This window comes from Homo sapiens, chromosome 3 (genome assembly GCF_000001405.40).
Source record: "Homo sapiens chromosome 3, GRCh38.p14 Primary Assembly".
In the NCBI taxonomy this organism is placed as follows: domain Eukaryota; kingdom Metazoa; phylum Chordata; class Mammalia; order Primates; family Hominidae; genus Homo; species Homo sapiens.
This window is the reverse complement of record NC_000003.12, coordinates 128,356,117-128,368,642: the sequence shown is the minus strand read 5'-3', so window position 1 is coordinate 128,368,642 and position 12,526 is coordinate 128,356,117. Positions and strand designations below refer to the sequence as shown.

The 12,526-nt window shown below is 53.8% G+C and overlaps 1 protein-coding gene across 11 annotated transcripts in view; it reads right to left on the bottom strand.

Annotated features, from left to right (window-relative positions):
- Window positions 1-12,526, bottom strand: part of EEFSEC (eukaryotic elongation factor, selenocysteine-tRNA specific) — a 272,743-nt gene that overhangs the window by 57,581 nt on the left and 202,636 nt on the right. For 7 of the 11 annotated variants that reach the window (XM_024453695.2, NM_001437809.1, XM_024453693.2 and 4 more), the window contains one exon: window positions 10,270-10,426. The exons of 2 other annotated variants lie outside the window; for them this stretch is intronic. In XM_024453695.2, the coding sequence (XP_024309463.1) occupies window positions 10,270-10,426 (157 nt within the window). Of the gene's footprint in view, window positions 1-74; window positions 966-10,269; window positions 10,427-12,526 lie in introns of those variants that run through there. 2 more of the 11 variants (NM_001437810.1, NM_001437813.1) reach the window with 1 other exon arrangement.

Here is a 12,526-nt window from a genome sequence, read left to right as displayed (position 1 = left end):
GCAACAGTGAGAAAGCTTCCGGGAAGTGGCCCTGACCAGCAAGGCTCAGCTGAGCTACCACATCCAGGGAGTGATTTTAACATGCGCAGTTGTCATTGTTGTTTATTGTTTTTTAAAACTCCTCTTTCTTAAAACACAGAAAACTTCATTTCTTGTGTGTGTTGTGGACTGTACTTCTTTTTTTGTTTTTTTTTTTTTGTTTTTTTTGGAGATGGAGTCTCGCTCTGTCACCCAGGCTGGAGTGCAGTGGCGCAATCTCCTGGCTCACTGTAACCTCCATCTCCCAGGTTCAAGCAATTCTCCTGCCTCAGCCTCCCGAGTAGCTGGGACTACAGGTGTGTAACCACTATGCCCAGCTAATTTTTAAATTTTTATTAGAGATGGGGTTTTGCCACATTGGCCAGTCTGGTCTCCAACTCCTGACCTCAGGTGATCCGCTTGCCTCAGCCTCCCCAGGCATAGGGATTACAGGTGTGAGCCACTGCACTCAGCCTGTGGACTGTACTTCTGTGCCAAATGCAACCACCATCTGCTGTGACTGGCTGTAGCTGGAGACAGGACACACTCCAGCTGACCTTGTGCAAGGGGCTACACCCAGGATCTAGGCTGTGGCAGCACCATCCTGGCCCAGCCCAAGGGCATCAGGCCATGTGACTGGCCCCATGGAATTCCTGAGGCACGGCTCTCCCAGTGGGTGGTGGGAGGAAGAACCATTAGGCAAGTGATCGCAGGAGGCAGCTTTTCAGCAGAGCCCTAGCCTGAGCTGGAGTCAGCACGCGTCACCAGTGCAGAACTGCTTGGCATTCCAGATGAAATGGGTGACAGGAAAAGGGAGTCTTATTGTAGAGCTGGTTTCTTTGGAGGGCTGATGGAGCCAGTGATATGGCCAGGCAGGCAGTGGGGCCACAGCACCAACTGTGGTGCTTCACTCATCTCTGGGTCTGGTTTCAAGGCTGTCTCTCTCCCTGTAAGGTGGGAAGGGGACATAAGTCCATAATCGGCAGCCTAAGTAGGGGTGCAGCAATGTTGCAGTCTCACGGCATCCCTGAGGTAGGCCTTGTGGAAACAGGATGTGGCTCTTGCTTACAGGCACAGGAGTCCACACAGCAGGTGGCTGGTTCGATGCGGAGGTGATACTCAGGGCCAGCAGGAATAGCCTGAGCAGCACCACTGTGGCACCCTCACCTCCAGGGGCACTGAGACTCCAATTTGTCCTCAGACCCCAGTGCAATGCCACTTCCGAAGGAAGCCTTCCCAAGCCCAGACTCGGTTGGGGTCCTACTGTAAGATCTCATGGCATTGTGCACCTTCTGTGCACAGCATGCATGTGGCTGCCAATACACAAATGCTCAGGAGAAAGTCTGCCAGTGCCAGCATCCTAACTGTTACAGGCTGAACTGTGTCCCTTCAAATTCATATACTGGAATCCTAACCCCCAGACTTTAGAATGGGACTGTATTTGGAGGCAGGGCCTTTAAAGGTGTAATTAAGATGAAATGAGGTCTTTAGGTTGAGTTCTAAACCAAACTGACTAATGTCCTTCAAAATAGAGGTTGGGACACAGACACGCACAGAGGGACAGCCATGTGAGGACACAGGGAGAAGGCAGCCGTCTGCAAGCCAAGAGAGAGGCTGCAGGAGAAACCCACCCTGCAGACACCTTGATCTTGGACTTCCAGGCTCCAGAACTGACAGGAAATGAATGCCTATTGTTTAAGCCACCGCGTCTGTGGTATTCTGTTATGATAGCCCGAGTTGACTAGTACACCAACCCAACAGCCCCATGAGCTCAGGGGTCATGTGGGCTGTGGCTCACTGTGGTCTTTCTAGAACCCAACACAAGGATGACACATAACAGGGGCTCAAAAGCACACTGTTGAACAGAGGGGTGATTAGCTGTGAACTCCCGGGGTGCAGGGACTGTGTCTTGTTTGAGCCATGTGCCCAGAACCCAACACTATGTCTGATACCAGAAAAATACTTTCCACACACAAGAGTCAGTGCTTGGTAAAGAAGAGCTAGCTAAAGTCAGAGTGACTGTGTGAGGCCAGAGCCCTCCTGTCTCTGACCTTGAAAATCAGGACCCCAGCTCCTGCTCCTCCTCCTCCTCCTCTGTGCCCTCAGGCTGACTGCCAGGGCACTGGGGTTGGTCTGATTTCCTCCTCTGCAGAACTGGGGTGATGACAGCCTGGTTTCCCTGGGCTGCTGGCAGGATTGAGTGGTCAGACTACACAAGGGCGTGCTGCCTGGCACAGGGCATGGGCAGCAGCTGATTGTACTGCTGACATTGTCTCAGCCTCAGGCCCTGCCTGCTACCCTCCGGATGGCTGTAGGCCCTCATGCTACAAGTCACCCAGGCCAATTCCATTCCTTCTGGTCACCAGCCCATATGGACCAATGCCCCTGGCCATTTCTTAGAACCATAGTTTCTATTCTTAGAGTTACTTGCCTGGGACCTCACCAACACACTGGTCCCCCAAAACCACTGAAGGGGTGTGTCCCCAACTCCTGCAGGCCTGGCCCAGTCCATACTAAATGACCCATATTTCTAGCAAATAGAGCTTCTGGGACTTAGGCCCTGACAAATCTGCCACCTTGTGAACCTGGGTCTGAGAGCCCCTGACAATCTGTTGCCTGGTCAACAGAGAGGTGCATCAGCTTCTGGGCTGAGCTGAAGCACTTGCTGCTCTGCCCTGTACTGGTCCCGGGAGAGACATTGGCCATCCAACGGCTGAGGCAAAGCGGGGCATCTGGGGGATGCCTCTATGATTTGGCTTCTGTTTTCAATCAGGAGGGAAAGGTATAATCCTTGTTTTTGACCATGCAAAGTGCTTTCCAGGGTCAATAAATTGGAGAGGTCCTTGTGGCACAGCCAATCCCTGCTTGAAAGGTGGCTGGTTAATCTCCTGTGAAGCAGCCTGGCATGAATGCAGCACCGGGGCTCCTACAGGCATCGTTTCCCAGTGCTCTGTGGTAGGGACAGGGCATGGGTGGGAGGATAAAGTGAGGCCCTCAGTGGACATGTGAGCTACCCCACCAAGAGGAAGGGCTGGCAGGTGAGGGGTGGGTGCACACAGCACACAATTCCAGCCACCACTTAGGGAGCCCCTGCCGTAAGTGGATACTATAGGCAGTCCTCTCCAGGGATTCTATGATTAAATTTTCAGCCTTCCTGGAAATCAGAATGACTAGCTCTGGGTTAGCACTGAAGAAGCTGAAGCACAGACTGGAAAGTGGCTGGTCCCAATCAGAAGGGAGCCTGGGATGCCCCAGGAGACCCTCCAGGTAACTAGCCCAGCGGCCCCTGCAACCTTGGCCTCGTCTGACCCGTCCCTCTCCTAAACCAGAGAGTGGTTCACAGAGGAGTTGTCCCACTGGGTGTTGGCCCAGGGCTCTCCATCCACTCAGGGAGCCCCCTCCCCACCCAGGCCTTGTTTCACCTCTGACCCCCTCCAGCACCTAGACAGGTCTGTACACGGAGGGCCCAATAAATTGTGATGAGGGACAGAGGAGGATGGGATGGGATACCATGCTGAGCCCTGAGACACCTGATTCAGCACAGGGGCCACGGGCTACCAGCTGGAACCCCAGAGTCCTGGGAGAAGGCTGCAGGGCTAAGGGAGCAGAGCCAGCTGGCAGGGCTGGCACTGCCCTCAGCAGCAGGTATGCTGTGCCCACTTACTCCTGCTGGCCCCTCTGCTCGATCTCCCTGGGGCAGACAGAGAACTCTGGCCCATTCACTTACTAGCAGTGTAGATGTGAGCAAAGGGCCTGTTTCCTCACCTGTGGGTTGGGGCCACGCTGCCATGCAGGCTGTGGAGGGCTAGACTAAATGGCAGCTCCGGGACAGGGTTTGGGAGGTGCTCTTGGCCTTCCCAGCCCCTGCTTCCTGCCAGTGCATCCCCACAGCAGTGCTGCAGGGCCTGGGGGTCAGGTGCACTCCACAGAGGAGTGGCTTGAGCACTGGCAGAGTCAGCAGTAGATGAATGAGGCTGGAAGAGGCCCTGGAGGGGCAGTCTGAGAATTCACATGCCCACTGTGTAGGCGAAGGAACTGGAGCTCAGGGCAGGTATGAGGGCCAGGTTCCCGACTCCCCATCCCATGGTCTTTCCACTGTCCTGGCCTTTTCCTGACCCTGGCCATGAGGCTGGACTGACCACTGGCCACAGGGTTCTAGCGAACATCACACATCTGATTCTAGCTCTCTATGCAGCCTTCTGCTCCCCGCTCGCCCTTCTGCTCAGAAGGCTACTCCTCCAGGAAGCTTGCTCTGGCCCTCCTCTCAGGATGGCCACTTTCCCCCATTCCCAGCCACACGTCCCAGTGGCCACTTGCCATGCTGACTGTGAATGGCTGCTCATGTCTCTGCCTGTCCCACAGGGAAAGCACCTTGGGACAGGACTCTGAGAAGGATCTCAGTATCCCCCGCCCGAGCCCTAAGCCTCAACTAAGTTTGCCGAGCTAAATGGACTGGCAAACCCTGGATTGATTAATTTATTTACATTTTTGTAGGGATGGGGTCTCGCTTTGCTGCCCAGGCTGGTCTTAAACTCCTGGCTTCAAGCAATTCTCTTGCCTCGGCCTCCCAGAGTGCTGAGATTACAGGGGTGAGCCACTGTGCCTGGCCCCCTTGTTTTAAAGATCAGGAAACTCGAGCCCTCCCCCAAGCTCTGTTCCTAGGCAGCAGCTTCTGAGGGAGTCTGATGAGGTTGGTGTCTGCCCGCATTGCTGAGGTTCTGGGGAAGCCTGTAGCACACAAAGCACCAGGCTGTTTGGCCTCCACTGTGAGGCTGCAGAAAACAGAGCTGAGAGTGGCCCTCGTGGGCCTGGGTACATTCATTTGTTCATTCCAGTCCAGTCTATTCCACCAAACTCCTTCATTTATTCATTCATGCAAGCAACACTTCCTATTCCATGTAAATCCATCCCCTTCTGCATGGCACACTGATGGGCATAATTCAGAGTCACAGCCCCTGCAGCCCTGGGGGTGGGCACAGGGGCAGCATTGGGTGCAGGATGGCCCAGGAGCCCTCCTCAGGACCCTCTTCAGAGGTGAGCAGAAGTGGCTTTCCTGACTCCCTCTTCCCAGGGGCCATAGGGTAGTCATTTCAGGCCCTCTGTCCAAGGGCCCACTGAGCTGAATGACCAACCCTTCCCTTCTCCCGCATACCCTGAGGAAGGGAGATACACTTCAGTGCCTCACCCCCAGCCCTGCCTATAAGGCATCATGGTGTGGGGAGTCTCGAGCAGAGTGGTTGAGAGTGAGGTGCTCTGGGTTCGAATCTCAGGTGTGGATGTTTGCTACCTTTGCCCAAGTGTCTGCTTTGTTCTGGCTTTCTTGCGCTGAGTGCCCACCTCTGTGGCACACCTCCCTGGGCACAGACTATCCTAGCCCTGGCATGCAGCAGAGCGGTTTGAAATGGTCTGCTTGTGCAGTGAAACGAGGTGCTTGTTGCAATGGGAACACCAGCAACTGCACTGCCCATCCTGCCAGCCCCAGTCTCCTCAGCTGTACAGCGGGCAGCCCAACTGCTATACATCATAGCTCACATTTTGGGGGCTGTTTCTCCTCCTCCTGAGTGCTGGCTCTCCCTGATAATCAGTAAATAGAAGCTCCTTCTGGGGTCTTAACTGTAAGTATGGTTCTACAAATTTTTTTTCTTTTTCTCATCTGGAGTACATTAATTTGTGATTAGTAATAATCAAAAGGTTATTAAAGATCACCAAAAGTAAGATCTCTATTTTAGGGTTTGAATGAGAATTCTGGCTACTCACAAGACCAAGTGCCTGAGATATGAGTACCCTTTTGAGCTCCCGGCACGTGAGCAGCACCCGCTGCTAGGATGAGGCCGCGGCTGTGGCCTTGAGTGGGCTATGTTCTCAATCACGGCTCTCTGGCTAGTATGAGGTAAGCACTTGCAGCTCTGTTCCATGGTCAGTTGTTACCTGGTGAGAATCAGTGACACATGGGCACGCGAGTGGTAATAGGGGCCTGGGGCTTTCCAGTAACAAGGCTTTAAGCTCCGCGTGCCCCTCAATGCTAAAGCAGACACACACATGAACTGTCCCAAATCAGCTGGTTCAGGAGCACCCTGTGGGAGAGGGGCCACCTATCATGAATTTGGGCCATTCAAAAAGCTTGCCACATCTTGGCAGGTACACAAAACAACAGCCCTGGGAGATTTTAGATTTACAGAGCATTGCTTCAGGAGATAAGATCACGGGCACATGTGTGCCCTTTTCTGTCCTAGAGTAAATGCCCAGTGACTCAGAGCTGTCATTAGGAACAAGTCTATTCAGCTTCTCACATGATTCTTCTCCAGTTGGGAGTCATCAAGGTGTTCTTTTCTCCCTGCAAAGTGGGAACAGGAGGGGCTGCGGAAGCTGTTGTCCCACCCGCCATCCAGCCTGCCTCTGTGAGTGAGTGCTGATGCCTGGCACACTGAGGCAGAGGGGAGGGTGGCAGCGGTGGGACAGACGGCTTGCCAAGATGAGCTTTGGGAGCGCAGCCTCCCAGGTGCAGTGCTTCTCCAAGCACCACATGGGCCTCCCAGCTCCAGATTCTTTGAAGACATGACTGCTCTCTAGGGGCATCAACAGAGCTGATGGAGAGGGGTGAGGTGACACAGACAGACCGTGGGCAAAGCCCTCAGGCTCTCTGCTACCCGGCTCCCACCTGTGAGATGGAGATAACAAGACTCACTCCACCCTACAACCCTTGGGAATTACAAGTGATGCTATGACTTGGACAGGAACCTCCTCCATGTCCAGCTCCTTCCTCCAACTACTCTCTCACCACCAGCAGAATTCCCCAGTAGGTTCCTACTGGCAGCTTGTCAGGCCTCCTATCCTCCCATGAAGTACAATTCTGCAAATGGCAAGGTCTTTGAAGGGAGATGTTTTGTAAATACGGGGCTTTCCAACCTTGAGATCCCCCAAGACTCTCTGGGAAGGCTCCTTGGATATCAGGAAGGATGGGGCCGTCCCCCAGCCCTCTGATTTCCCACAGCACATTCTGGGAGTCAACAGCCCTAGCATCAGGACCCTTGTCTCTGAGGCAAGTGTCTGTGGCTCCTTAAAACATACTGTTTGCATATTACGGTTCAGCTTCACCTCGTGAACCTGAGGGCCAAGTGTCCTTTCTAAAATTCAAACAGGAGTTACGAGTTGCTAGGGCTCAAACCAGGCCAAAGGCATGCTTTGTTTAGCACAGACAGTTGTAGTTTTTAATCAGGAGATATTACATAAAAATAAAATTAGATAAAATGAGACCCCAGGCCTACGTTCCCATATAGTGAAGAGTTGGCAGGACCCACACAGCAGCTCTCCAGGTCACCATAGTCCCCACCACTCCCTATCACCTGCCACCTGGCCTCTTCAACACCTGCTTGGCCTTCCTGGCATCTGACCTTGCAACCCAAGGTGAAAGGCTGATGGGAGGAAACCCAGGGGACTCTTCATTCTGCCTTTCCCAGCCCGGATGCCCTGTAGAGCCGGCAGCGAGGCCCATGAAGTGCATCTGAACCCAGCCCTGTCCACGAGCTGCAGGCTGGGAGCCTTACCTCTCATGGCACCAAAACCCAGGCTTCCCCACCCTGCATGTCCAGGCTGCAGCTAGCAATGCACTCTCTCTCCCTTCACCTGGCACTGGATGGCTCAGGCTTCCTGAAGATTCTTTCACAATTAAGGCACTTCAAAAAGGTTAAAAGGGAGGAATCAGCAGGGAGTGGGGGTGGGAGGGATGGAAGGTGGTGGGTGGGATGGAGGAATCTGACCAGTGATATTTAATAAAAAGCTTAAAAGCCACAAACAGGAAGCAGGCAGACTAAAAAGTCAACATTGACCAGACGAAGGAATGTGAACTCTAGTGGACTGAGGCAGTGTCCCTATACCCCTCCTCCCTCCACTCCCACCCCAGCACCCCGAGAGGCTCCCTCCACTCCTACCCCAGCACCCTGAGAGGCTCCCTCCACTCCCGCCCCAGCACCCCGAGAGGCTCCCTTCACTCCCACCCCAGCAGCCCAACCAAGACTCCTCTTGGTTCTTGCCTGCCCTGGGAATACCCCAGCTCTGAGTTTGCCTTGGGCTACAGGAAGGGAGCTCAGGGGAGGTCAGCGTGATCCTAGCAGTTCCCAAAGGAGAAGACCATAAGCTCTTCCCTCTGCCTGGTCCAGCAGGGCCCCAGAGCTGTTTAGGGGAAGGATCAGTGCTCCTCAGTATGGCCCCCGACCCAGCTGGAAGAATCCCGGGATCCTTCCCTCCCAGAAAGCTCACAATAGCCCAGGCAGGCATAGGCACGAGGCCCTTGGGGACTGAGGTCTGGACGCTGGCCTGTCTGGCTCATGCCCCCTGCATGCTCCCTGGAGTCCAGAGAGGGGCCCTGTGGGCTCCAGTCTCTGAGGACAACCCACAGCCAAACTGAAGCGATGCACAAAGACTCCTGTTTGGCTGAGGTGAGGACTCAGAGCCACTATGGAGAAGTGGGGAGGACAGGACAGAATTTTAGAGCTTCACCGCTGGAGGCCTCCCATGGCTGGGTGCCTCTGCCTCCCTTGCCCCAGCCCCACCTTGACAGAGGCCTTAGGGGCTGCTAACAGGGAACAAAGTGCCCTGGAGAAGCAATGCCTCTGTGACCATTGCCCTTGCTCATGAGAAGGCAGATGCTATCTCTGGGCAGTGGAAGGACTTTGAAAGGAAGGGGTTCCCTGGCAAGGCTGTCAGGAGAGGGAAGGGTGCTCATGCCACCTGTGAGCACGGAGGCAGCTGGGGTCTCTGTTTTCCAGCTGGAGCCAGGGCACCACCTTCTCTTTAGGAGATTTGACACAAGAAGCCATAAACCAACCTTGGTTGTTCCCCTGATCCAAACCTCCCCACAGCTTTCCATCCTCACAGGATCAACCTCGAGTCCTGGAGTTATGTAGAGGACAGTAACATGTCAATATAAAATCAGGAGTGGGTAAAGGTGTTCCCTGTAAAATCTTCAACTTTGCTGTATGTTTGAAAATTTTTGTAATTTTTACTGTATTATGAAATACAACAGAATTGTACTGGATTGGTTGTATCTGGTACAATTGTACAGGAGATAAAGGACAGTGGGGAGCTGGGGGTGGTGGCACACAACTGAGTCCCAGCTATTCAGGAGGCTGAAGCAGGAGGATGGTTTGAGCCTGGGAGGTCAAGGCTTTAGTGAGCCTTGATTGCATCACCACATTCTATTCCACAGACAGGGTAAGACCCTTTCTCTAAAAAAAAGATAGTGGCTCATGACCCATTCATACGAACACAGGCTTTAGTCCTTCCCACGGTCCCCAGCGCACAGTATGAACCCTGGCCTATGTCCTGCACACCTCTCTGCTCAGCACACTTTTGCCAAACAACTGACCTGCAAATGCACTTGAAGCTCACTGTCACCTCAGGACCTTAACATTCACTTCCCCCTCGCTGTGGCATGCTCTCCCTGACTACCCATGTGGCTCCTTCCCTCCCTCTGTCCTTCCCTGATCACCCTATCCAAAGCAGCATGCTCAGCAATTCCATCTCGTCCCTGCTTTATCTTTCTACGTGGTGCCTACTCCCATCTGACAGGGATTTCTTTAGTATGTTTATTGTTTGTACCTTCCTACAACTGTAAGCTCCATATCCCCAGCACCAAGCACAATGCTTGCAACACAGAAGAACATGATGCAGTGTAGGCTGAATAAATGCACAAGTGATTGAAGGATGAGTTCACTGACAAAATCCAAGGGCTCTCCAGCAGCAAACACACACCCTCTGACCCAGCCCACGGAGAGGCCCCAGCACAAACTCAGCAGGTGGTGCTGAGCCTGGGGGTCTGTGCTGGGCAAAGGAGGGTGACAACTCACATCCCTGGAAACCTTACCACGTGCCAGGACAGTATGCCAGGCCCCCAGCGGTCTCCCTCACCTGCTCTTCTCCAAACTGCCTGTAGGCTCAATCTTATTCCCGCCTCCACAGAGAAACCAAGGTGCGGGCCCAAGGCCCCCTCAGATGGTAAATGGTGCAGTGGGAACTCAGACTCCAATCTTGACCCTGCTCAGACCAGATCTTCACTCCACATCCAGGCTCTTCCCAGAACCCATACTGGCTTCCCAGCCAGAGGCCATGCTGCCAGGCAGGCCAAGTCACCCCGTGTCTCGGCAAAGGCAGGATTAGGAACCTAAGCCAAGGAGCGCCACCTTGGCATCACCTCTGCCATCTCTCTGTGCCCTGCACGGTGTCCCTAAACCGGGAGGAAGTGGCTGCACTTACCTGGGATGTGGATCTTGAACTTGCCGCTCTGGCCGAAGGCACTGTCGATGATGCCCAGTTCCCCAGTGGACAAGTGCACCTTGAGCCCCACGAAGAGCTGGATGTTGGTTTCCTTTTTGAACAGGGAGCGGCCGATCACACTGTAGTCATCCATCGCCTGTCCCCACACACCCAGCCACAGAGAGAGGGCATTAGTGGTGCACACTGAAAGAGCTGTGACTGTGTGCCTAGCCCCAGCTCTCCCGGGCCCTAGGCATGGCTGGCTGCTGCCCGCTCTAGGAACCCTGTGGGTAGCCTGGTGATGAGCCCACCTAACAGATAACAAAATGCATGGGAGCAGGGCAGAAACCTGAGACTGGCAACTGCCACTATAACAACGGGCCCTTCAAAACAGGCATGCTGTGAGCACTTTCCACAGATAGCACCTCAGTCCCCACAGCAGCTCTGTGGCGCCACTTTACAGATGAGGAAATGGAGGCACGGCAGAGTTCTGTCATCTATCCAAGGTCACAGAGCACAGGGGATAGAAGTAGCTTTGAATTCAAGCCCCTGTTGCAGGCCCCCCCCACCCCTGGGGGGCCACAATGACCCAGCCTGTCCCCAGGGCACCTGCCCAGAGCACTCTCCTTGAAGCTGTCACAGTCACCCGGGCCGCTCCTGAGCCTGCATCCAAGGCCTTCTAGAACTGGCCTCCTCACTCTGGTTTCCCCTCCCACAGGAGCCCGAGAGCCTGGCCTTTGTCTCCCACCCGCTGCACACACCCCTATGTACAGTGGCCCAAGGCTTTACTCTTGCTCACTCTAGCTGTGCCTGGAAGCCTGTCTTGGCCTGGCCCACTTTTCCTCCACAGCCCTACCTCCCTACCTCCATGACACCCTCCCTCAGTCCAGGCAGAATTGCTCGTTTCCCTGGCCCCTGTTGGCCATGGCCAGGTCTTTGCAGAGCTCATACCTCCTGCTGGCCATGTTGGCCGCTGCTGTCTCTTTGTGGGTGCCCAGGCTGAGAGGAGGGACACACATGTCTGTGAAAAAGTCAGCTTGGTGCAGCCCTGATTTCACCATGAGCTATGTTCATCCTGAACCTTCTCCCTAGAGGCTTGATCAGCGACTGGAAGTGTCACTCCCTCCCTTCTGAGTCTCTGGCAGCTCCAGCCCAGGTACTGCTTTTGGGATGGCAGCATGGCCAGGTGGCCTTGCCTGCCCCACCCAGCTCCTCACCCCACCCCTGCTCTGTAGATCCTGCCTCCAGTAGCAAACTTGGGCCCCATGATAAGAAGTGCCCACCAGTCTGGCAGCTGTTATGGAAATGAGCAATGCACACACCATCTGGACCATCAATTTCACTTCTAGGAATGCATCCCGCTGATGTGCTTGCTGGAGAAGATGTCAGGAGAAGATGGGAGCTCCACCCAAGGTCACTCACTGCAGCAGCAAAAGCTGACAATGACTTAGAAGTCCAGCCTGAGTTCAAGAAGTGGAGCACAGCCTCTAGAGATGATGATGTGACCACAGAGGAGAGTAGGCAGTGTGTATGGACAGATACAAAAACCAGAGTATTGTGTTTCACGTTAAAAAGAAGAGTGAGAGGCAAAGGGCATGTTGCAGGCTGTGTATGGATGGGGGCAGGGCAGAGGTGGATACACAGAAGGAATCAGGAGAAACTGATGCCTCCAGGAAAGGGAGCAGGGTGCCTGGGGACTTTTCACCATACACCTTTTCTATCTTTGGCTACTGAAATACATGAATGCATCACCTGTTTACAAATAAGTTAATAGAATTTAAAAATGTAAAAACAAACCAAGAAGTGCATTTCTTCTACACACACACCAGGCGGACCTCCCATCCTCTCCTGACATCTTCTCCAAAGACAGAACATTTTCCTTTGATGGCTTCTGGTCCAGCAAGGGTGACAATTGCAGCCCTCTGTCCCCACCCAGGCAGCTTTAATCAGTTCTCATGCATTGTGGTCACCCCAGAGAGCTACTACTCGGGCCTCTGCATAGCTAGGCCCTGGGGTTACATCTGACTGAGAAATAAGACCTGTCCTCCAGCATTGCAGTGGCCAAGAAACAAAAAAGGCACAGTCCCTGGACTAAGAGCTTACAACTTTCTCAGAGAAACAGCTTGTAAGAGGCCCCACCAGGACCAAAGGGATAATATACGCAGGTATCCTTAGCAGAGCAGAAAGTTCTCAACAAGCTGATATTAATATTCTTGTTTTATTCCTATAAGAGCCTACCATGAAACGGGCCTGTAGC